This window comes from Homo sapiens, chromosome 10 (assembly GCF_000001405.40).
Source record: "Homo sapiens chromosome 10, GRCh38.p14 Primary Assembly".
In the NCBI taxonomy this organism is placed as follows: domain Eukaryota; kingdom Metazoa; phylum Chordata; class Mammalia; order Primates; family Hominidae; genus Homo; species Homo sapiens.
In genome coordinates, this window is record NC_000010.11 from 49,295,194 (window position 1) to 49,320,341 (window position 25,148).

General features: G+C 49.5%; 1 protein-coding gene and 1 long non-coding RNA gene across 7 annotated transcripts in view, besides 2 other annotated features; one reads left to right on the plus strand and one right to left on the minus strand.

The window, feature by feature from the left end:
• Positions 1 to 1,089: 1,089 nt before the first annotated feature.
• C10orf71-AS1 (C10orf71 antisense RNA 1) lies at positions 1,090 to 3,700 on the minus strand. Its single transcript, NR_108038.1, has 2 exons — positions 3,497 to 3,700; positions 1,090 to 1,580 (listed from the first exon to the last, which is right to left on the minus strand). It is a non-coding gene; the product is annotated as a C10orf71 antisense RNA 1 (long non-coding RNA).
• Positions 1,853 to 2,030: a silencer, noted in NCBI's record as "fragment chr10:50505091-50505268 (GRCh37/hg19 assembly coordinates)". NCBI's record gives its function as "represses an EF-1alpha promoter that drives an FKBP-Casp9 reporter gene in an ReSE screen in K562 erythroleukemia cells {active_cell/tissue: K562}" and the evidence as "EXISTENCE:reporter gene assay evidence [ECO:0000049][PMID:32094911]".
• Positions 1,857 to 25,148, plus strand: part of C10orf71 (chromosome 10 open reading frame 71) — a 30,443-nt gene continuing 7,151 nt past the window's right edge. For 2 of the 6 annotated variants that reach the window (XM_005269477.4, XM_047424549.1), the window contains exons 1-2: positions 3,977 to 4,096; positions 20,952 to 21,054. The gene's annotated coding sequence lies outside the window, so the exon portion shown is untranslated. The other 4 variants (NM_001135196.2, XM_017015619.2, XM_005269478.5 and 1 more) reach the window with 3 other exon arrangements.
• Positions 12,915 to 12,964: a silencer, noted in NCBI's record as "silent region_2361". NCBI's record gives its function as "represses an Ori minimal core promoter by ATAC-STARR-seq in GM12878 lymphoblastoid cells {active_cell/tissue: GM12878}" and the evidence as "EXISTENCE:reporter gene assay evidence [ECO:0000049][PMID:35858748]".

Sequence of the window (25,148 nt, forward strand, 5' to 3'; positions counted from 1 at the left end):
CCAGCACCAGGCTGGTCAGATAGGGAGAAGGGCAGCCCTATAGAAGGGGCCTCGGCAACTTGGGCTCTTTCAAGCTCTGAGCTACAAACAGGGCCCTGCCCCCATAACTCTAGCCCCTCTGAGCTACACATTAGCAGGCAACACCTCACCAACCTAGTGCTCCTGCAAGAGAGGTCCTCCGGCTCAGGCCCCTCAGCAGGCAGCCAGCCCAGCTGGGCCTAAGCCCCTGAAGTGAGGGCTCCTCCAGTGAGGCACCATCTTGCCATCAGGCTTGGAAATACACTCATGCTGTGCTCACAGTGGGCACAGAATCCCCATAACAAATCGGTAGCTAAGGAGGTGCCCTGCAGGCATTGCCCTCTCTGCAGGGAGAGGCAAGGAGAACAGCTGGCTGTGTCCTGCACTTGGGCTGGGAGAGTACTAACTGGATAGGTGGGAAGGTGAGCCCTCGTCTGCATCTTCTGTGCTGCTATTAGCTGTGGCATCCTGGGACCTCTGCAAGCCTCAGTTTCCTCATCCTTAAAAAGGAAACATTAGCTGCCATCTTACAGGGAGACTAAGTATTTTGTGGAACAAAGCACAGAAAGTGTTTTCCTGGCACATAATGAGTGCTCAGGAAATATCACTTCTCCATATCTCATCCTTCCCTAGCTCCCCAATGGATAGTGATTCATGGGGATGGGAAAAAATCATGCAGGGACCTATGATCAGGGGTGTATAGGGTGTGGGTTAATTGATGTGAGGACTTAGAACCATGTGGCACACAAAGTAAGCATTCTATGTTTGCTGGCTAGCATTTTCACTTGCTATTATTATTATTAAGCCATGGAAATGTACCACCGTCCTGAAGAACTTTACAGAAATGACTCCTAAAGGAAAGCTGGGTGATAATGAAGAAACGTTCCCCGACAGGAAGTCACATATAACCAGGACGCAAAGTTAAAAGAATCAGGTGAGTGGCTTCCTGTTATTTGCAGGGATATGAGCTTCAAATACCCAGAACCAGAAATTGGCCTGAAGGACCCATTCTGCACTGCCCTTATTACCAGCTTTTGAACATTTCTAATTAATACCAATACAGAGCAGATTAAATTTGCTGCAAAATTAAGTTAGCGATCACCACGTGCGGCAAGGCCATAGCTAGACCGTTTTTTACCCACGCTGTTGGGTGGGTGTGCTGCCCTCACAGTGTTCCAGAGGCCTTGCTGAGGGGTGCAGCCAGTGAAGCCACTGCAAGGATGGGCCACCACAGCACGCCGCCTGAGGACAGCTTTATTTATGCTCTTGCAGAATGTACAAGTGGGCCTTGTTTTTCTGGACGGCTAGGGAGCACACTGGCTCACATAGCGTCCATGGTTCCACATTTAGAGTTGTGTCTTCATTCACATTCTTTCCATGCAGCTCACAGCTCCTGGACTGGATGACAGTGGTCACTTTGCCTGGGCCAGTCCCCCGGACAGATGCCAGCTCTGGGCCATGCAGACCCTGAGCTTGGGCTCAGTTTTTGGTCTGGAGCTTGGGCTCAGTTCTGCGGCTGTGTTTCTGGCTGGGGATGGTCTGCATCAGGATACCCGCTGTAACTGACACAGACATAGAGTCTATTACACAGGGCAGGTGGGGGAACATCCAGGAGAAATTAGATTCTGCAGGTGTCAGCTATGCTCAGGCTTGCTGGTTGGAGCCTCCAGCCAAGCTCTGAGGGCTGCCTGCTCCTAGGACAGGCTCTTGCTGGGTCAACTGTGTTTTATTATTCTCTCCCTACCCCTCCTGCTGATGTCATTGACAAAGCTACCCGCCAGTGCCCGGCCCCCGGAACATTCCCCAGCCATCCCACGGTGCTCTTTCCTCAATCAGCCACTTCAAGCAAACACCATTCGCTCCTGCTGCAGAGCAAAGCTTGCTGTTTCTAGGATCCTAAACAAGACATGAGGTCATGCTCTCCACCTGTGAAGAATGAAACGTAAGCTGGGGAAGGAAGGTGCTGAGGAGGGGAGGAAAGCAAATTAGGAAGACCAGCGGCCCTGCCGAAGCTTTCAGCTCATGTTACTCACACCCCAAAGCAAACTCCTCCATAAAATGAGGTTTAGTAATGCAACATTTTCTAACATCTGGAACAAAATGATTTGGGTCAAACAGATGACATATGAACTGACTGTAAATTTGTTTCAATGTGTACTGGGAGGGAGGGAAATTAACAAATATGTCAAATCCATGATCTATTAAGTATTGTTGTTTTCCATAAAGTTCTTCTGTTCAAGAAAAAAAGCAAGTCAATTTAAATTTTCTTTAAAGGAAAATAGTAAGTAAATGTTGATACAGATGGTTGAGGTGTAGCAAAAATCATGGGAAAAAATAACAAATAAATGACTAACATTTTGGGAAGCTTTGCAATAGACGAGCATATTCATGTACATGAGCTCCCCTGACCCTGAATCCCACAGAGCACAGGCATTCTCTCCACTTTAGAGATGGGTAAACTGAGGCTCAGGAAGGGTAAGTATGTGACATGTCAACTGACCAGGAAATAATGGAGCCAGGGCTCAAAATCCTGTGTACTTTTTAAATGTTGGCTCCCATCTCAAGTTGATGGCTTTTGTCTGACCTTTTGGCATGCGTTTGTTTTGGCAAATGGGGAGGTAGGGAGGTGGGTGGGTAAAATTGAGGGGTTCACTTTGGGCCTCCCTCAAAGCATCTCTGAGTGCGGAGCAGCAAGTAATCATCCCCACAGCGAGGTTCTGAAGCTCTCAGGGCAAAAGGCAAGTCTTGAGGCTCCCAGGAGGAGGCGGGTCTGAATGCTCCTGCTGGTTGGAATCTCACACCTTAGTCTGCAGGGCAAGGAGGAGCTGTTCTTTGTGACTTGGTTTAGACAAAAGTACATAGACCTGGGTCCCTGTGGCCCTGGCTGTCAGCCGGTTCAAGGCTGGAGGTGGTGCCAGGCCCCAGCTTGGGGCTGGGACACAGGTTGCTGCCCTTGAAGAGCCCACAGGGGCAGAAGGGACAGTCTACAAATAGACCCAAAGACACAGCACACTGCAAACTTGCAGAGGCTTTGAGCGCTGCACAGAGCAGGACACCCAGCGGGGGCCAGTCATCTCCGCTTTCTCAGGCCACAGTCAGGGAAGCATAAAAAAGAACCTTGGAGAGAAAGGGGGAAAAAAACCCACTCTTGCATTAAATCCTGGTAGCAAGCAGACTATCCTAGGGCCAGCTTGGGAGAGTAAGGAAGGCACTCTGGGAGCTGGCATGGCACAAGCCAAGGAAAAGCCAGTGGAAAAAGTTGGGGGATCTGTGGGCAGTTTGGGGAGCAGGTGACCCCAGCCTGAGACAGAAAGCAGCCATTGGGAAGGCAGGCATGAGCCCACCTCAGGGTTGAAGGGAGGCCAGCCCTTCCCAGAGGTGGAGAGGGGAGCCTGGCAGAACGGGACTTGTCCACTGGTGCTTGGACTTTGCAAACAACCGGGCTTGCTGTAGCCAAGCTTACCAAGTGGACACTTACCTTGCCTCTTCCCCGATTATTTCATATCCTTCTGTAACTCTCACCCTGAGACCCAGCCTGGCCTTCCCCTAGCTGCAGATTATTCTGCTCCAAAAGCACAGCAGAGGACGGCTCCTTACTCGAGGAATGCGGGCGGCGGTCGTCCAGAGCCGATGATGAAACGGGCTATTTCTGCCCCGGGACATCAGCAGGGCTCTGGGCTCTGGCTCCAAGGCACACACTCTCCTGTTTTTAATGTTTCCCTAAACAAATGTTTTCCTTCCCACCTCGGGATATTTTTATTTGACTCTAGGTGCTGGAATAGCTTTAGCAATCATTCTGGATTGAAGTTGGAATCGTGGTTAGGGTCCGGCTAAGCGGCAAGCAATTTCTCACTCCCCAAGTGATCTGTTACTCGTGGCTGATTTGGAAGTAAAAATAGCAGCTGAGGCTGTTTGTTTAATCTGACTGTTACTTGACACCACGCGGGTGTTGCAGTGCGGACTGTTTGCCTCTTCCCCACCAAGAACACCATTTGGTTTCCCCCGGCTGGGTCTCTATTTAGGTAAGCTTCGCGGACTTCCCGTGTCTGGCCGGCTTCTGGTCACTGATCTTCCTCAGGTGGGTAGGTTTGTGAGCTAGAGGAGGCTTGGGTCCTGAATCCACTCTCCTATCACCTTTGGGCAGCCTGGATAAAGAGGAAAGAAGTCTTGGCTGCTGGGCAGAGCCGGGTTTCTCTCCCATTCCCGAGGAGGCCTGAGCAGCTGGACACGCAGAGAGCGGAAGGTACAGCCCAGACACTTGTCTGGCTCCTTAGCGTGGGCAGGGAGGCTCAAGTTCATGGCGGGAGGGATGTTCCCGCTGGGCCGATGCTGTGCTGGGGAAGTAGTTCGGTGCCAGGGTGCTGTGCAGGGTGGTATGTGTGTGCCGGGAGCCCATTGGTGTTGGGGCTAAGGTTCTTGGTGTGCTGGATGGGCCTCGGGGACCACGTACCCGGAACCGTGTACATGTGTGACTTTGTCCTTAGGTGTCATCTGTCAGGGATCTCTGCTCCCACATGGCTGAGTGCACAGATGTGCCCAGGCCACTGCGCTGTCAAATGGGTGACCCCATGGTCCCAGGTTTTCAGCATTCAGGGCTGAGGGAGGCTGGCTTTCTTAGCTCCCCCAGCGCTGGGCCAGGCAGGGTCACACCAGCTGTAACAAAGAGAAAAACTGGTGACTGAGACGTTCTGGCCTGTGGGCTCTGCGAGCATGTGTGTCCCCAAAACAAAGCCCGCCACAGGCTGCCTGTTCTTACACACCCTGGGAGGGCCCCCACCAGACTCCCACAGGGTATGCTTGACTGAGTCTAAAATTACCTCTTTTATTTTCTGGTGGAGAAGAATTGAACATTGAGAACGGCAGTGGTCAATGTGTGTGGAAAGCTAGATAGCCTTAAGAAAAATCATTGTGTAGGCCTTTCAGGTAGCTCCCTAAGTATAGGAACCTGGGAAGCAGATTAAACAGATGTGTGTAGTAAATGAGGTCCTGTTTTCCAGCATTTGAGTTCCCTTTGCAGTAGTGGCTGGTAACTCTGGTCTGTGGTCTGAGCATCTGGTTTTGTAAATAAAGTTGTATTGGCACACAGCCACCTTCATTCATTTGCATATTGTCTAAAGCTGCTTCTACACTATATCAGCAGAAACCATATGGCCTGCAAAACTGAAAACGCTTACAATGTGGCCCTTTACAGAAAAAGTTTGCTGACCACTGTGTTACAAGAACACATCTTGAGATGGGTCAATTTAATACAAAAAAAAAAAAAAAAAAAGCAGTGAAAGTTCTTGCTGTTAGAATAGTTTGTAAGCCAGACCCTTCAGGACCAGTGGCTGGCTGGCTCCTGAGCCTCCTGCACCTTCCAGGGCCCACTTTTTAGGCCTGGCTGATACAGGAAATGTCCAGTTTGCTGTCACGGTGCTGGGAGGGTTAGCTTAGCAGTAGAATCACCAGACACACAGCGTGTCCATGTGGCCTGGGCTGAGCAGGGCAGATTGTGCTTATCGGGGTGATTTATAAATAGCCTTCCCCGGGTGACCCAAGTCCAACACACATCTGCCCCTGGGTCTCTGGGAACAAGTTTGTCTGCTCTTGGATGACCAGAAGCTCACTGGGAAGGGAACAACTGTGTGCGGTGGGTAAGAAGGGGGCTGGTAGAATGCTGTGTCCTGGAGCAGAGGGGCTTAGGTCTCCTGGAACCTGGGGAGAGAAAGCTGTTGAGAGTAGACAGGAAGGCCAGAGATGGCCTTGCATCCTCCCACCTTGATTTCTTTTTGCCAGGACAGAAGTAAGTGTCTTTGTCTTTTCCTGACCCTAAGGAAGCCCTGGAGACCCTTACTGAAGAGGGGAGGCCTCATGTCTTGAAATAGCCCTATTCCTCCAGTCTCTGCCAGAAATCTCAAGAACCCAAGCCTGCTGGTGGCACCAGAACTGGGCCGTCTTCCTCATTGGCTCTTGGGATTTTACTCCATATGCCCTGGGTTACTGGAGGGAAGCAAAGGGCTTTGAGAGAAGGCCACGCTACAGGGGCACACAGGGCTGCTGCTCCCCAACAGGGTCCATCGAGGCTGGAGTGGATTTTGGTTTTATTTCCATTTGAGAGTTTAAACCTCATTTCACAAAATCCAGCCAGTCCATAGTCTTTATCTCAATCATATGCTTCATTTAGTTAATTGGAAAAATCTCAGACACCCCCTCATTTCTACTTGGTTTCCAAGGGTTGCATGGCATGAGCTAGTGGATGGGACAGAGCGGGAAGGACAAGGGATCAGTGGAGGCCTATCAAGACCCAAACATGGAGCATGTAGAGCACATGCTGATGTTCAGATGTGTCACCCCCAATTTAAGTCATTGGTATCACTCTGGAACATTCCCTGGAAGGGGCTGCCTGTGGGAAGAATACAGTGTGATTAATCCACAGCCTCCTAAAGTCAAGGGGAGGCAAGAGCAGAACTCAGCTGACCTGGGTTCTCAGGAGAAAGACTGAAGCCAGCTCAGTGCAAAGTGCATTCCCTTCTAAGCCCAGGTCAGACAGCCTGGGGAAAGTCTGACAGAAAGAAAATCCCAACAACCAATCAACCATGAATAGCTTCCTCTCCAGACTTAGGGACCTCCCTGTCTTAGATGAAGGGGAAAGGGACGTTCTTCTGGGCCATGACACATGGCAGATGGGCAGGCCTTCCTTGCGTCCTCCATTCTCTGCTTGGCCAATCCCAGGGGCTCCTTTGGCCCACCCCACTCTGGGCTGTCTTCCCTTGCCTCAGTTAGTCCCTTCTTTCACTACTAACCCCCTTCCCAGGTGGGCTTGAGCTGCTGAGGAGCTGCAAGGATGGCTGGAGGGAAGGATTTCATCTGGGATATCTCCCACCTCAAAGCCTTCACCTGAAGCTTGAGGAGGGCAGGGGGAAGGGGAGGCTCTCCAATTTGCTTGGGAAGCCTCTGAAGGAGTTTCTGAGGCTCTCTCCCTACTCCCCACTGTGTCAGGAGGTTGGTTCCAGATCTGGCACCACTGAGCCTGCCTGTGAGGGCCAGTTCATGCCAGGTCACATTGGAGCTGCCCCTTGGCTTGCCATGTCCCGGGTTGCCAAGCCACAGTAGCACCACCAGCTCATCCTCTCACCTGGCTGTGTCTGCCACCCTCAGAGGCAGATCAGCCGAAGACTGCAGAGGTCAAGGGGTTAGAGCTCAGGCCCCCTGGGCTACAACCACTAGATGCAAGCCATTTCTTGCCCTCAGTTTGCCCACCATTTCCCCTGTGGAAATCATTGGCTTCAGACCTCCAGTGAGCAAAGTTTTGGAGTATCTGGTCTCATTCTCAACCATCCAGCACGGTAGGTCTTGTGAGCCCCCTCACGGAGGCAGGCGCCGAGGCTTGAAGAGGTTAAGTAACTTGCCCAAAGATGCACAGTGAATGAGGGGCTTGTGATCTGAATGCAACTCCCATGTCTTGTACTCACTGCCTCCTGATACCCAGAGCTCCCAATAGATTCTCTAGAAAGGAGGCTATCCCATCACTAGAGTCAAAACCTCCCTTAGGAAAGCTGAGTATGCCTAGAGAGGTGCACAGGCTTCACCCCAGCTCCTCAGGACTTTGGGAAGTTGCCCAGGGTGCTGCAGGGATTCCACACTGCGCTTGGAAGCCTGTGGCTCAGAAGGGGCAACAGGACAGGCAAATCTGGGTTCATAGGTCAGCCCTGTCACTTCTCAGCAAGCCCCCTGGACCTCAGCTTTCTCCTCTGTAAAATGGGAATAATAACAGCTCCCACATTAGTCCTGTGAGCATTAACTGAGCAAATGTATGAAAAGTTCCCAGCACGTGGTAGAAATACAAGAACTGCTCTCCTCACTCCACTGTCCTATTTAGAGATTTTTTTCTTCCCACTTAAACTCCAGCTTGGGCCTATACCTTCCAGAGTCACCAAGGAGAAAGTCCTGTGCCTCAGAGTTCAGCTGGTTCATGCTCACAACTCAGTGGGAGAGCAGCTGGCACCATACAGGACTGACCCCAACCCCATGGTGACCACACATGGTGACCACCTCCCCTCTTGTGCGGAAGAGGTCATGGATCTGAGCACCTTCAGCACATGGGGTGGATGGGAGGTCAAGCCTGAGTGGGAAAATGATACTCCCACCTCTGAACCAGGCTCAGGACAAGGGCAGACATGGCACAAACCACAGCCACTGACAAGCATCAGACCCGAGTGGCCCAAGAGACTATGACTTGTTAGTACGTCCTCCCTGAAGCAGGGGCAACCTCCCATCACTCAAGACCCAGATCAGCTTTCTCCAGGTGCGGTCTCAGGGCCAGCAGATCTCCTGAGTCCTGAGCGGGATCAAGCACTGTTAAGCCAGCCCCGAGGGCATTCTGAAAAGTGTGAGGATGCTTCCTTAAGAAGGGAAAGGGGGGCAAGGGGCTGGCGCTGTTCTCAGACACAACAGGAGATGCTCCAAGGAGCCAAGTTTTTCACATCAACACAGCCATAGGTTGAAATAAACATGGTTGTTAAAGGAGCATCTTTCAGCTTTAAATTTGAAAAGGAGAACCAGGCTGGCCACATCTGAATGGTTTTCCTTGCCATGAGGAATTCCATGAAGCAGTTGGGTGCTGGTCAGCTCCTTACATTGCACTGCAGGAGCCTGTTCTCCCCTTTCCTTCCCCTGGCTGAGCCGCCTTACCCCTGCTGTGCTGGTTGGAGAAAGGACAGCAGTCATCTACCAGCTACTTTCCAGCCTCCAGCAGAGACAGGAGAAGGCCAGGCACAGCTTCAGACCTATGTGGGAGGCTTAGGAATTCCCAGGGGTGCTCTGTGTGAGGTCCCCTTCTCCTTATCCCAGATGCACACAGCTTTGTGGCTTCCAGGCCAGGGAAGATGAGCTCTGCAGGAGAGCCAGGTCCTACACATGCCTCCTCTAGCTTTACTAAAGCAAATGCTCCCTGGCGGGACCAGATGCAGAGAGAGATAACTGAGAATTTGCTAGGAGAGGGGTTGCTACCCACTCCTCGCCCTGCACAAACCTGTGGCAGATAGAAGACCATCTCATCTCTTGACTCTCTGCCTCACTGCATTCTGGAGAGACCTGGCCCTGAATCCTGGCTCTGTTGCTCTCTGGCTGTGTGACCTTAAGTGAGTTCCTTAACCTCTCTGACCTTCAATTTCTCCACCTAAAATTCCTTTTGCGTCAGCCCTACTCAATTTGCCAGTTGTTGCACCCACTGAGTGAGGCCATGGATACAGAGTGAGGGACAGGTTGCAGGAGCGCCGTCAACAGGATGGGTGCCTGGGACTACCAGGGGGCTAACATTTGGTGACAGCTCTTCCAGCTCTGCTTCTCTGCCTGTGTCACGCAACCTCATGGCACCAGTTTGCATATGGAGAACCTGGTCTATAGACAATGTGATGGACTCTGTAGAAACCCTGCCCTCCCGTAGTTCTCAGGAGTCCTGCCTGAACCTCCTCTCTCTGCCAAGGCTGGCACCCTCCGGGGCTGCTTTCAGGGGGTTCCCCTCCCCTTAGTGCCTGGCTCCCTTCCCAGGGGCTGGAGAAAGGATGGTTCCTGAGGGGATACCCCCATCCCAGCAAAAACAAATGTCTCTTCCTCCAGGAGCCCTCAAGTGGGCTTCTGTCTAGACAAGGCTCTCCAAGGTGGAATCTGGTCATAGGTTACAGTTGTCCCTTCACCACCCACTTCCTGATCCATAAGGGGTTTCCACAAGCATCAAGCTGCTGGGTCTGCCTTTCCATTTGCCCCAAGGTCACCAAAGTGAGACTGAGGCTCACACAAGTTAAGTGGCAAGTCCTAAAGCTGTCTGATTCTGAAGCTCTTAACTGGAGAGTTATGTGCCCCAGTAAGTAAGGGCCAGGGCAGGGTTTCAAGTTCTTTGCACCCCATGCTATGGAATCCCAGGTGTCATGGGGTATGGGGAATAGAAGGACATCTTATGGCCATAGGTCTCAAGATGAGCTCTAAGGAGACCTGTGGGTAAGAACCAGGAGTATGGAGGCTGCAAGGTAGCCAGGGGCAGGTGGGTCCCCAAAGTCACAGTGTGGTGCTGAGCAGAGACTTTTAACCTGTAGCTGGCATTCTAGAAGCTGCTAGAGGAGGCTCTCTAAAGACAGGTGAAAGGGACCACTTCTCTGGCAGCCCTAGGTTCCAGCCCCACACCACCAGGTATTAAATTCTGCGCTACACACGTTTCTCCTCTGTAAAGAACAAGAGTAACTCCTGTGTAATGAGGCTGTTGTGAATACTAATTAAATAATAAATATTAATAATACTAGGTTATAAAGTACCTTTATACCAGGTGCTCATTACCCACTCAGTGGATAAGAGAAATTTCTCTCACCTACTCATTCACTCACTTGTTTAGCAAATAAAAGGCCCCATGCTAGGCATAGGCACTGTGTGGAGACTGGAAACATAAGCTAGAGCAGTAAGGCAAGGCCCAGCCCATGGACCTGCCACCAGCGGGTGGGGTCTCCTCCCCTCCCCAAGTGAATCTGATCAGCCACTGTTTGGGCCTTGGGTCTCCAATTCTCCATCCAGATGAAAATCTAGCATTACCAGAAACGGGGCACCCGTAAGTTGGGCATAATTAGGGATGCCTAAAATTTCTGGTCTCAGAGAGTTTTTTTTAAATCACTATAGATCATAAGTCATTACTGAGTCCTGAAATCACTAAGTTGTGAAGAGGTTTTTTAAATGAACGAATAGATTAGATTAGGATGGAGCAGTACATATAAGAAGGGTAAGCTTTGCTTTGTCTGGTTTTCCATGATACATATGTCTCCAAGCATGTTCTGTGCCATGATGTAAATGCATTTCTTACTACATGTAGAGGAGAAACCTCTGCTCTGTGGAGACACGGAGAGGAGGATGTGTATGCCATTCACTCGCTCCCTGTCGACCTGGCAGGTGAGGCACGGGGCTGCAATGGTCAGGGCCTTCTGAACCTCCTTCTAGTCCAGGCGTCCTCCCTGCTGTGGTGGGGATCCAGGACCTGGTGGTTTGGCTGACTCCAGCATCGAGAGACTCTCAAGCAGTGCCTGCCACAGGGACCGATTCCATGAAAATTCCTGTGTCCAGCATGGGGAGCAACCTTGGGAGTGGGCAGTCCCAGGGGCGGGCACAGCCGGGCTGATTTTTATTATCCCTTTTTTCCAGGTGTAGCAGTTAAGTGACACCCATGACAACAGCACTTTAGAGCTGGGTCTCCGCTCTTCGCACTGCTGGTACTGCCTATTTGATGACTCTCATGTCAGGTCCTGCCATTTCCAGAATCCAGGGCAAGATGTTCCTAGGAAATGTGGAGGGGAAGAGCAAGTGAATACATGAATGAGTGAAGGCAGGAAGAGCCTGGTGCTGGGCTAGTGCTCCCTCCCTGATTCTCTAACAGCAGTTCTCAGCCAGGGGTGATTTTGGCCAGAGACTTGGGCAGTGCCAGTGATGTGGGGACTTAGAAAGTCTATTGGGAGCACCTGTGCCAGGTGCATGGCATGGGGTCCACTTACTTGCAGATGAGAAAGGCTCTCACATGCCATGTCCCTCAAGCACGGTTGTACTCAGCAACCATGGCTAAAGGGCACAGAGCAGCACGAGGACCTGTGCCCAGATCCCAGGGGGACCCACCATTCACATGGCCCCAGAGCTCCTGAAGGAGCCATGTGTCCCTTCTCCAGCAGCTGGCCTGGCAGTGGGGGTGGCCCTGCAGTTTGGGTTGGGTGCAACAAGGAGGTGCAAGGGTAAGAAGGATGAGCAGCAGAACCATGGCTGCCAGGCTGACCCTGCTTTCTCCCAAAATCTCTGCCTCTCAGGCAACTCCCCTCCTGGGCAGTGGAGCAGGACTGGCACTCACCCAACCCTGGGATAGGAAGACAGGGTGAACAGAGTTGTTTGGGATCACATGCTCTCCCTTCCAGATCTTTCCTGCTCCTACTTTTACCTGTGATGCCAGCATGGCTGCTCCTATAAAGCACCTCTGAGCTCACAAGGAGACGCCAAGGGCACCTCTGAGCTCGCCAGGAGAAGCCAAGGGCACCTCTGAGCTCACGAGGAGAAGCCAAGGGCTCTTTGCTTAGGGAGCATCTGGCTGCTGAGGCTGGGCCCCTTGAGGTCTGCAGAGAACACCTGAGAGAGTGTCGTGGAGCAGCTGGCAGTGCCAGGCCTGAGCTCCTTCCTAGTGGAAGGGACTGTCCAGAGACGGTGTCTGGCTGAGTCCAGCCCATCTGGCCACCAGGAGTTCCAAGGAGTGATCCTCCATAATGCTCCACCTCCAGAAGCGGTCAGAAACTGCGCAAAGAGGTGCTGCTGACAGCTCGCAGGTTAGCCTTTGTGGAGTGAGACTCTACCCAAGTTTAAGCAGTGCGAGCTCCGGAGCCTGCTGGGATGCAGAGGCGCACCAGAGCCCCCTGCACCCTGCAAGGCCCACTGAGCACACCTCGTCCCAACTCTGCCTGGGATATCAGGGAGGCAGCAAGAAATTAGCCAGTGCTACAAATCCAGTGCTTTTTGCCCCAGAGAGCTGGTTATTAAACATCGCTTGGCCTGCCCTGGTCATCAGGGAACAGGAACCAGGAGGGGACAGGTTTGTGGGAGACTGCTTGAACCCAGTCCCATTCTCCTCCTCTCTTCTTTTCTCCTGTGACTTCTCATTTCTCCTGCCATAAGGGTCCCTCCCTGGGTCTGTGATGCCAGGTATTGGTCACCCTCATGTCCTGGGTTAGACCAAGCCCGGCCTTCCCTGTGCCTTGTTCCCTGGCCTCAACTGTAGGCACAGCCCTGGGTCTGAGCAGCACTTGGAAGCTTCTGGGGAATGACCCATCCAGACATGGCAGACTGGCTACCCAGGCCAGAAGTCAGCTTCAGGCTGGGCTGAGCTCACAGAGAAAGCATCACTCCTCCAGTCTCTCCCCAGAGGGCAGCAGCCCCTGCTACCCCCTGCTCACATCCAGTTCTGTGGGTTTGACAAGCCCAGGCAAGCTGGTTTCTTCAACCACAACCCCTGGGGCATCCTGGACTTCTACCTGCTACAAGATTTAGAGGCTCCTGCACATGTAATGTGGTTGTAGAAGATTCAGACTCCCACCAGGCCAACACTGCCATCATGGCACCCAACCACATCATGTTCCTGGGGCTGGCCAAAGCCAAACTTGTTCTCTCCCAGGGCACAGTGGCCTCAGAGTCAGTTTGAGAGCCTTTGGCTTTCCCAGGCTATAACCTGAGTTTGGGTCCAGTCAAGCCAGGCCAGGCTGCAGGCTGACACCCCTCTCCCATGTGCCAAATATCAGGCTAGTGGAGCCAAAATGGCCAGACTGGATGCACAATGACCCTTATGTATATCAAATCTCTGCTTTACACACATAAGAGGCACTGCCCAGTGGAAGCCAATCTAAGGCAATCAGAGGTAATTGTGCTTTTACAAAGCAGTAACTTCCCAGGATCCATCCAGTTACGTGAGGAGAGGGCCCGGGTCAGCCCTGCACATGGCTATATCTCCAGCACCAAAACTGGTGACGTGAAGCAGGTGTTCAATAAGTAGTTGTTGAATGGATCAATACATAAATAAGCTTAAGTCACGCTTACGAGATCTTACGCTTTCTTCTAGGAGTCTAAATGAACTTATAATTTCTGATTTCCAAAAGTAAAAGGGGTTACAAAGACACAGCGAGCCCCACATGGGAGATGCTGAGGAGGCATCAACCTGGGGCCAGAGAGCAGGGCACAGAGGCCGAGGACTGGGTGAGGCCCTGCTCAGCACTCCCAGGCCTTAAGCAAGGGACCAGCGATTGACCTAGCCAGTCACAGCTCAGTTTCATCAGCTGTAAGATGATGAGGGGAGCCTATCATGCCAAGTGTTATCAAGGAATAAGTGAGCACGGGCAGGTGCAGGGGTCGACCTGCTGCTTCACAGACACTCAACACGTGTCTGCTGCCCTCACCTGAAGGACTTCAACTGAGGAAGTAAATTTTGCCATTTCACTGTTGGCTGCTATGGGCTGAATGTGTGTGCTCCAAAATTCACTGAGATTACCCCAGTGGAATGGTATTAGGAGATGGGGCCTATGGGAAGTAATTAGGTCATGAGGGTGGGTCCCCTGTGATAGGATCAGTGCCCTTATAAGAAGAGACACAAAAGGGCTTGCTAATACATGTGCACACTCACTCTCTCTCTCTCTGCTGTATGAGAATACAACAAGCAAGTGTCCATTTACAATCCAGGAAGAGGGCCCTCACCAGAAACCAGATCTGCCAGTGCCTTGATCTTGGACTTTCCAGCCTCCAGAACTGTGAGGAGTAAATGTCGATTTTAAGCCTCCTAGCCTATGATATTTTAGTTCAAGCTAAGACATTCTCCTCATAAAGCATAGACCATAGACAAGGACATTCCCCTCTAAAGCAAGAGGGCTGTTAGAATTGCACAGAGAGGTCGAGAGCTTGGCCCAAAACTGACCAGCAAGGCACCCTGTGGCGTGGGGTGGTGGAGGCTGTGTGTGCTGTGCATCTGTGGATGGAGGACCATCTGTGAGCAGGGCTCCAGGCTGTGCATAGACAGGGAGGAGTTGTCACACTTCACTCCACTGAACTGCTCGTCACACATGCCTGAGTCGATGGCTCAGAAAACCAACCCAGAAAGAAGAGCAAGAGGAATCAATTCCAATTTGTTAGAGCCTTCTGGGTGTGATAAAGCCAACCCCTGCCATCTCCACTGTCTTCCTGTTTCCCCTTCTCTAAGAAGTGAAAGCACCATTCAATTAAGGTAATTAAATTCACCCGAAGATCTTGGGCTCAAAAACCACACTACCGGCAAGTGGTCAAACCCAGCAACAAAGCAAACCCCAGTGGCTTCCTGTGGAAAGATGGGCAGGGATGAGGAGGAAAATGGAACATATCTTCAGCAGCTCAGGGGTGCACCTTGGGCCTGCAGGGGAGCCCCCAGCTCTGCAGAGCCCAGCTGCCTGAGCCTCCCGCAGCACCAGAGCCCTCCCCAAACAGGAAGGACTCATGTTTACAGGCTGAATCAAAAGTTTCACTTCTGTGGATGTCTGGGAGAACTCAGCTGAGAAGATCCTTATTACATGACGTGAAAGTGAAATGAAACCCTCGTTTTCTCCCCCAGAGACACCAATTCTCCCATGAACTCCAGCCCATGAGCCATAAGCGGGGCTGGCAACACCTCCCAGGACACGCCTAAGGAAGCCTGAATCCACAGGCCAGAGGTTCAGGGTTTCCTCCTGGAGAAAGCAGAAGGTGGTAAGGTGGTGAGCCCAGGCTGACTCGTCCCCAGTTCTTCCCTGTCTTTACATGCTGTGTGGCACTGAGCAACATCCTGCACCTCTCTGTGCCTTTGTTTCTCAACCTAGGAGATGGTGACAAGGCCACTCAACCTGCCTCAGAGGAGTCATGAGAATCAAACAAGATCACGGATGCTGAAATGTGTCATGAACTACAGGGTGATGCATACACATGAGCCGTGACTGTCACTGTGTCATCCCAGTATTGACTCACTGCATTGGCTTCCTCTGATTGTGATCCACTTTGAGTGCTAAAAGTTGGTGAGACCCTCAGGTAGCCAGATGATGATGATGATGATGATGATGGTGATGATGATGATGATGAAGAAGAAGAAGAGGAGGAAGTCGTCGTCCAGTGGAATTTGAATTTCAGATAATGAATAATTTTGTTAGTATGAGTGTATCCCACATATTGCGTGGGATACACTTACACTAAAAAAGTATTTATTGTTTATTTGAAATTCACATTTCACTCAGTGTCCTGTATTTTTAATTTGCTCAATCTAGCAGCCCGACCATGCCAGACCACCAACTGTTCCCTCTGTGCAGTGTCCCCAGGACCACCAAGACCCGGCCCCAAGCCCACTCTGTCACTCACCAGCTGTGAGACATGGAATATCTGGGTCCTCCCTCTGAGGGCACTTTGTCTCTCCTCATGGGTGATTGTGGTCCCTGAGTTGGGACCTCCAGCGTCACCCAGTGGGGCTCTGGTCCTATGGACCTGACAAGCTCCTCAGTTATGTGGGGGACACCTGCAATAGGGCTTGGCATGTAGGAGTTGTGAGTCTTCTCCCCTACACTTCCCGTCCTTACAACCTGGGACACATGAGGGTCTGGGATAGATCAGCGGAAGTTGGACTGCATGACCTTCTCAGGCCTGGGTTGGCTGCCAGCCAGGAGCCCCGAGGAAGACAAGGGCAACATGGACCTCTGTCCCTTTGCACACTGCAGTAAACCTCTGTCATTACATCCCAGGGTCCAAGAAGTACACTCAACAACCAGAGCTGAAAACATTTCCCAGTGAGCAGGGTGCACCAGGCACCCTGTAGGTAAAAGATGAACCAAGCCAGGGACCTCACACCAAGGATCTCAAAGTCTAGTGGGAGAGATAGATTCACCGCAGTGCAGGAAGAATAAAGCAATGTAAGTGATAAAAAGGGAAGAAAAGATTCTACGAGGAACAGAACAGAGGAGGAAGTTGTCAGCAGTTGTGGCTGAGGACAGAAGAGACATTCCAGGAAGAGGGACTATTACTTGAGGGATCTAGTCCAGGACACATGGGTCCTGCCCCTCCCTGGCACAGGGCACCACAGGCCTGGAGGAAGGAGGGTGTGGGAGCAGGCAGAGCTCCCCTGCCAAGAGGGACTTGAGGGTCTGCATAGGCATTTGTAAAGGATTAGGAGGGGGAGAGAATTGTATCCGCAAAAAGCAGCACATCCCAGTCAATAATAACAGCATCATGAGGCATGGCATGGAAAAAAAGCATCATGTGAGAAAACATTTTGGAAGAGTTAGAATTTAGCAATGACTGTGCAAAGGGTATTTCGGTGCTTATCTCAAGGAAAAGCTGATTCATGGGGATACATGTTCAGATTGAGTTTGTTTGATGTAGTCTGATTCAAAAAGATGACCCTACAATAAGGAGAAGAAAATACACATCCTTGAGTGTAATTCTCAGGGCTCCAAGGCTACAGGGCACTACCAGTTCACCCATGCACATATTCACAGTGGGCATGGCAGACCCTTCGCTCTTCTCCAGGGGCTCAAATGGAGAGTCCATTTTTAAATTCCTGCCCAGGGATCCTGTTTCCCCTAGTGTGCTCTGGTGTTTTGCAGAACCTTCTCCATCTGATGCAAGTTTGGCCTGGGTCAGTGGAGGAAGTGCTGGAGGTCTGCAGAACATGGCGCTGTTGAGTCCTGCACAATTGCCTGGAGGCAGAGGGCAAAGCCAGCATTTCATCCACTGACCCTATAATTTAGATAACGCATCACTTAATGACCATTCACACTGTGGCTGTAAACAGAGCCCCAGGTAATGTACTCAACAAAAGTTTGCTGGACGCTGGCCCTCCAGAAGGCATCAAAGCCACTCCCCAACTTAGAGCACTGAGAGCAGTGTGAGAGACCAACTGGGAAATGGTGAAGTCACGATGAAGTCTCTTTTCATCTCCCCCTGACAGAAACGCAATCCAGACATACACAGTACATGCCACGCTGCTGAGGGACACCTTCCCTGGAGCCAGCTTGTCAACAGTCTCTAAGAACAATCCCGTCCACCTGCTTCCATCTCTTACCATGGGGGGAATTTTACATATTTGAGGGGTTTTGAATCAAAAAGTAAATAAAATCCACTTGGATTCAAATTCACTAATTTGAAATTTGTGATAATTCTGTGATTATAGGATTATAATTGACTGTCAATAAAATAAGTTCTGCTAAGCCTGTCAAAAGTGTGAGTAATATCATGACAGGTGGAAGGGTTTTCTCATTTATTTAACAGATATTGCTTGCACTGTGCACTATGCTGCATGAAAAAGAAACAGACATGGACCCCGCCACCAATAAACACTCAGGCTAGCAGGAGGGACAAACATTTAACAACAAATCACCCAGTTAAATGCTTAATTATAATTATGGTAAGTGCTGCAAAATGATGGGTATAGCCCATGATAAAGGGATGTAACGGGCAGCCTTGGAATAGCCTGAAGAAGCTGCATCATCAAAGGGACATGTGAACTGGGCTCTGAAGCACATGTTGGAGTTAACCCAGTAATGATGAAAGGATGGAAGTAAAAAAGTCCAGGCAGAGGGAACACCATGAGCAGAGGCCCTGAGGCAGGAAGTAGGGTGGCATGAAGCTGGACAAGGACCAGGTTGGTTGGAAAGCCAAGCATGAGGGGAAAGATGGAGCAAGGTGTGTTTGGAAAGAGAGGATCTGTGTTAAGGAGATTGATCTTCATTCCTTAAAACTGGAAAGCCATCGAGAGATTCTAAGCAAAATGTTGATATGAACAAGTTTGAGTGTTGAAAGCAGCCTCTTGGTGCAGGGCAGGAATGGGCTGCTGCAGTGGCCCAAGGATTTGAGAGAGCAGCTTGGTCCACACAATGACCGTGGAGATGGAGACTGGTGTGTAAGGAAGAGACCTTCAGAGATGAAACTCATGGGAACTAGGAAATGGATGTCAAAGGGAAAGGCACTGGGAGGAGGAGGAGGAGGAAGTCGAAGGTGACGTCAGGTTTCTGAGGTCCCCAGGGAGAAAGCTGGCTTGCAGAAGGCTCATGGACTCTGCTTTAAACATGTGGGTTGGAAGGGCTGTGAGACAGGGGCACCGAGTTGCCTGGTGGGTGGGCGGAGGCGTGGACTGCAGCCAGGCAAATGGCCTGGCCTGGACGCTGCCTCAGTGCGTGGATGTTTGCGGGGACCATGGTGTGGGGACAATCGCCTGCGTGGTGACTGTAGAGTGAGAAGAGAAGAGGCTCCAGGGCTGGGAGCAGAGGAAATCCAGCAGTCAAGGAGAGGAAGAGACTAAACATCCAGACAGGGAGGGGAGAAGGAAAGGTCAAAGTGAAAGAGTATCTTAAGTAGACAATGGCCACGAGTCTAGATTGCAGCCTAGAAGTTCAGTCAGATGAGGAGCAAAAATGCCATCAGAACATCCATCAGGAAGGAGTGGGGGCCAGACATTAAAGGCCGAGTGAAATGGGTAAAGAAATAATGGAGGTAGAGGGGAGATATGAAGCATTTAAGAGAACAGTCTTTGAAGGCCACAGACTTAAATAGGAACTGACCAGGTCATAATTAAATATCGATGTTTATTTCTATGCATTCATGACCAGGTTCCAAGATCTTGTTTAAAACATGGCCCTGCCATGTGCACTGTATCCTCCTTCATGCTGCCTGAAGGGAACACACCTTTTCACTGGCAAAGTGCTCTATGAGCAAGAATTTTCACCAGTTCAGAGTGGCTTCCTTCAAATGGTTCAAAGTGGTAAGCAAGAGAGTTTTTTCACTGGCATCTGGAAAATTCATGCCAGCAGCAATGTCAGTGAGTCCATGAGGCAACTGCCTAGGGGGAAAGCCCAAGCACAGGGTGAGGGGTGCCCTAACCATTCACAAAATAAATGCCATTATGTCGTTCTGCACCTCCGTCTCATCCATGTGTGGCACCAGATGGGTTTCATCCTCATCCCTAAGTCAGATCTCAGTGGAGCTGTGGGCAGGGGAGTGGCCTTATTATTTAGAGATGCAAATGGGCTGATCTGAATTTTTTGGAAGGCCATAAGACCCAAGGCCAGGAGTCTTTCTCAACAAAATTCCTATTATCTTTTCCCTTCTTTTCTGTGCCTCAGTTTGCCCTCCAGGAAAAAAATCAGAATAAAGATAACCCAATTCAGAGCATTACCACAAACAGTGACTGAGCTTCCATTTATTGAGTTCAGTATACAAGACTCCCTTCCTTGGTTCAAGGAACTTCCTTTCTAGTGAGGAGGGAAAGCAGCGATCATCAGTTCCTGAAACATATGGGTCACGATGTATGAAGTGACAACAGAGCTGAGCTATGGAAAAGGTAAACCCAGTATGCTTTGGGAACACGAAGGAGGCCCATCTAAGCCAGCCTGGGGAGTCAGGGATGGGGCCTCGCCGTATGGTGGTAGACACAGAGCACCTCTGTGATTCTCCAAAGAAATAGACACCACCAATTCAAGCAATTATGATTATTAATATTATTAATAAACTACCTTGAACTAGATTAATATCCAGGAGCTACAAGCTGGGAAAGGTCTTATGGAAACCCCAAAGGTTTGCATTTAAAATGTGCAGAGTGGATTTATTTTAATTAGTTCACTATTCATTCTGAGCATTCTGAATATCCTCCTGGGCAGCTTTTTGGTTCTTTTAGCTGTCAGAAGACTCAAGCCTCCTGCCAACAATGAATCTAACACTGTGCTGCCACTTGCTGAGTGGACTTGACTTTCACTGCTCCAGTTCTCTTTGCTGCAAAACCCAGTTCAGTGGGAAAAGGGCCTTGAGTCAGATTTTATTTGCAAAAAAATAATTCACAACTGGGTCAATCATATTAGAAAACTGAAAGGCTTAAAAGAGGTTTCTAAAAATGTCTTGGGCCATGGACAAATTAATGCATATTAGAAGGGATATAAATTGACCTTATGGTCAAATATGCCTATTTTTGGAACTTTGTTGAGCTCAAGTATGGATTGTTTTTCATTTTTGAAGGCCAACTACATCGTTGTATAACTGACATTTAAAGATACTTTGGGTCAGGCATGACGGTTCACCCCTGTAATCCCAGAACTTTGGGAGGCCAAGGCAGGCAGATCACTTGAGGTCAGGAGTTCGAGACCAGCCTGGCCAATATGGTGAAACCCCATTACTACCAAAAATACAAAACTTAGCTGGGCATAGTGGTGCACACCTGTAATCCCAGCTACTTGGGTGGCTGAGGAAGGAGAATTGCTTGAACCCAGGAGGCAGATGTTGCAATGGGCCAAGATCACACCACTGCGCTCCAACCTGGGCAATAGAGCAAGACCCTGTCTCAAAAAATATAAAAGATACTTTTTCCAATGAACTTGCGCTTGGCCCTTTGGTCAGTTGGGTTCCACTGAAATTATTTTTCTTCTTTCCAGATGGGCAGTGATGACACCAAATATAAGCATAAAAAGACGTTTTAAAACTACAGATCCTGAAACCCAGCACGGCAGGCACCTGCAGCTTCCAGTGCTGTAACAGGTATGGAACTAATCTAAGAGTAGGCATCTAGAAACACCTTCTGTTTTTGGCCATTATGCTGAAAGGTACCATGGGGGCTGGGGGTGGGGGGAGAATGAGGTCAAGTCTCTGACTTTCCATCTGACCCCAGGTATATCAAATCAGAACTGAAGAAATTATCTGAATAAAGCTAGCAACATGGGGAGGGAGTCTCTCTTTTTCCTGAGGCAGAAGTAATGTGGTTATTTTCTGAATGCTCTGAAGATCAATGAACATCCTTCACCACTGTTTAGAATGAGGATATAAACCCAGGATCAGGTAGGGTTCTTCAGCCACAAGCAACAGAAGCAGAAACTCAACAAATGAGGCAGAAATTCATATGTATTAAAAGAAAAATGGAGGTCTTGTAGCCTCAAGGTGACAGCTAAAGTTCCAGGCCAGGAAATGTCAGGGGCCAGGCATGTCCCAGAGCGTAGTGAAAGCTCCACCACCAGCAAGGAAGCCTGAGCACACTTCCGTCCTTGTGTAGCTCCAGGAGAATTGCTACAGTCCATGGGCCTGTCCTCGGTCTCACACCTGCTCTTGGCCCTCGGGAGCCTCTGCAGGCACCTTGACTTTCAGCCCCACCAAGACTGAAAACCAAGGGGAGAGGAAATTTCCCACAAGGTATCAAGTGCTTTTTCTCAGAAGATGCAAGCTGAGTATTCAAAAAACAAATAGTGAATACCTACTAATACGAGGGTGTGTTTAATTGGGTAGAGACTGCTTGGTTGACTCTATCTAAGCTTCTAAATTTAGGTCTCCAACTAACCGATTTTCATCTTAATGAAAACTATCTTATTTTCATTCAAAGTGTAGAAACCCCCAATATTACTGAGTTCAGCCATTGCCAAGATCGGAATCCCAGCATTTAGGACATCAGGAGACTCCTCACCATTTTGACAGGATCTCAGGATACAGAAAACCTGACTCATAGTGGTCAAAGCCACTCAGGTTCCATCAAACCCCACACCAGCCTCAATAACATAAATTCAAGTGGGATGGTGCTGCCGTGGGCTCATGGCTTAGCAGTGCTGGCCAGGACCTGGGCTCCTCACCTGTCCACACTGCCATCCTCTGCAGATTGGCCTTCAGTGGCCATTGCTTGTCTCTCAGGGCTGCAAAGTGAATTCAATATTATGGTTGAATCATGCACCCTCTAAAAAAAATCGTAACTCTCATTACCTCAGAGTATGACCTTTTGGAAATAAGGCTGTTACAGACGTATTGTACTTAAAGACGAGGTTATTAAGGTGGGCCCTAATCCAGTATGACTGGTGTCCTTATGAAAAGGGAAAATTTGGGCAGAGCGCAGTGGCTTATGACTATAATCCCAACACTTTGGGAGGCAAAGGTGGACAGATTACTTGAGCCTGGGAGTTCAAGACAAGCCAGAACAACATGGTGAAACTCCATTTATACAAAAAATAGAAAAATTAGCCAGGTATGGTGTAATGCACCTGTAATCCCAGCTACTTGGTAGGCCAAGGTGGGAAGATCACTTGAGTCCAAAAGATTGAGGCTGCAGTAAGCTATGATTACGCCACTACACTCCAGCCTGGGTGACAGAATGAAAAATTTTTTTTTAATAATTGGAAAATTTTAAAAGGTTTTAAAAAGGAAAAATGTGGACAGAGAGACAAGCATAGAGGGAAGATGATGTGAAGACACAGGGAGAAGACGGGTGTCCTCAAGCCAATGAGAAAGGCTAGGATCGATTCTTCCTTACAGCCCTCATAAGGAACCAACCTTGTGACACCTCGATTTTGGACTTCTAGCCTCCAGAACTGTGCGGCAATACATTTTCAATGTTTGAGCCATCATTTGTTACGGCAGCCCCAGCAAAGAAATCAAGCAGTTTCTGGCTTCTTGTCTGCATTCAAGGCAGGAAGAAGAGCACTGACACAGCGGAGACAACAGAAATTGCTCCTTTGATTAGAAAGGCAGGAACTTTCACAGACTGCTGGCTGCTTCCATCCCTGTGACCACAGCCATGTCCTCTGGCCATGCTAGCTGCATGGGAGTCTGAAGACCGGAGCATGTGTCTTCTACTGGGGAAGGCGTGGGCTTAGCCAGCCCTCAGGGTCTCCCCAACCCATCACGTGGGCTGATGCTCTCCCCTTGTATGCAGCCTTCTAAAAAGCATATGCTGTCATGAGTGTGTACTTTCCAGGGAGCCAGCAGCCTGCCTTTCAAGGTAGGGCTGAGGAGCATGTGCAGAGAGGCCTTCCCAGAGCAGGTCAGTAGCTACTCGTCAGCTCATTCAGTCCACTAGAACTCAGGTCCCATCCTTTCTCCAGCTTAGTTCTGTCTTTCACAGAAACCAGTCAGTCTGCCAATGAATCAGCTTTGCTAACTCACCAGAGTGTTGTGGTCAAGGGACGGAAACAACAGACCCCAATGAAGCCTGGCCTCCAGGATTAAAGACAAACATTACTGACAGCCCAGCAGCTTTGAGCCTATGCCAGGATGCTACCCCTAACCTCCTGGAACCTTGCAGTGAGGACACATGATCCCCACTCTACAGAAACAAAGAATGGTTGCAATCTCACAGCACAGATACAGATGAGAGAGATGCACTGAGGCTGCTTGTGGCCAGCCCATGGTCACTCAGCAAGGGGATGTGGAGCCAGGCAGGATCTGGGGCTTCTGACATGTGGCCAGGCCTCCCTGATGGGAGTGCCTTCACCATCCATCCCCTGGAGCTCTGGCAGTGACTAAGGCCAGCCAAGCAAGGAGGGGAGAGCATAGCCTGCTCAGCTCTGCTGCTGTGAATGGGAGTTCTCTGGCAGTGTTTGATCTGCCAGCTGAACACTTAACAGCACCCTGCCAGATGTCCACTCTTCCAGACACCCCTCACTTGCATCCACTCTGGGGTCAATACTTGCTATTTTATGTAACTTTTTATGTACCCATTCTCTTATCCCCTCCCCCAGGCCAGGCAATGTTCTAGGCAATGGGAGGTATGTGTGCCAGGGGAAGCCGTAAGTATTCCAGAAGGAAGCAGCATCCTCAGACAGGATCCACAAGAGAATGTTATGTAGCACCATGCACCCACCAGGATGGGTACTTTCAAAAAGAAAAAAAAAAAGCAGAAAATAACAAGTGTTGCAAGGATGTGGAGAAACTGGAACACTTGCACAATCTTGGTTGAAATGAAAATTGGTACAGCCACTATGGAAAACAGTCTAGAAGTTCCTTAAAAATTTAAAAATAGAACAACCATATAATCCAGCAATTCCACTTCTGGGGTTATACCCAAAAGAATTGAAAGCAGGGTCTTTGAGAGATATTTGCACACCTACATTTGTGGCAACATTTTTCACAATAGCCAAAATTTGGAAACAACCCAAGTGTTCATCAATGGAGGAATGGATAAGCAAAACGTGGTGTATATATATGTACACACACACAAGCTATATATATATATATATATATATATATATATATATATATATATATATATATACACATACATATATGTGGGTGTATATGTATATGTATATCACACACACACACACATATATAGTGGAATATTATTCAGCCTTGAAAATGAAATTCTGGCACATGCTACAACACAGATAAACCTCAAGGACATTATGCTAGAGAAATAAGCCAGTCACAGAAAGATAAATACTGTATGATTGCACTTTTATGAGCTTCCTGGAGTCATCAAATTCATAAAGACAAAAAGTCAAATGGTGGCTTCCAGGGGGGAGGGGAAATGGTAAGTTGTTGCTTAATGGGTAAAGAGTTTCAGTTTTGAAAGATGAAAGAGTCCTGGAGATTGATTGCATGAACATACGAATATATTTAACACTACTGAGTTGTATCTTAAAATTAATTCAAATGAAATGTTTATATTATGTGTATTTTGCCACTTAAAAAAGGAAAGGGCTATAACAGAGGTAACAGAGAATTAGGGAGTCCCCAGGGATGTAGAGTTGGGCACAAGGGGCATGTTGCTGGAGCCCAGTCAGAGACTGGGGGAGGGGCCATAGCTATAGAGGATTGTGGTCCCCATGTCACAAGGCAGGAGGAGTGGAGAAATGCCAGGGACACTGGCTCCCCCTCCC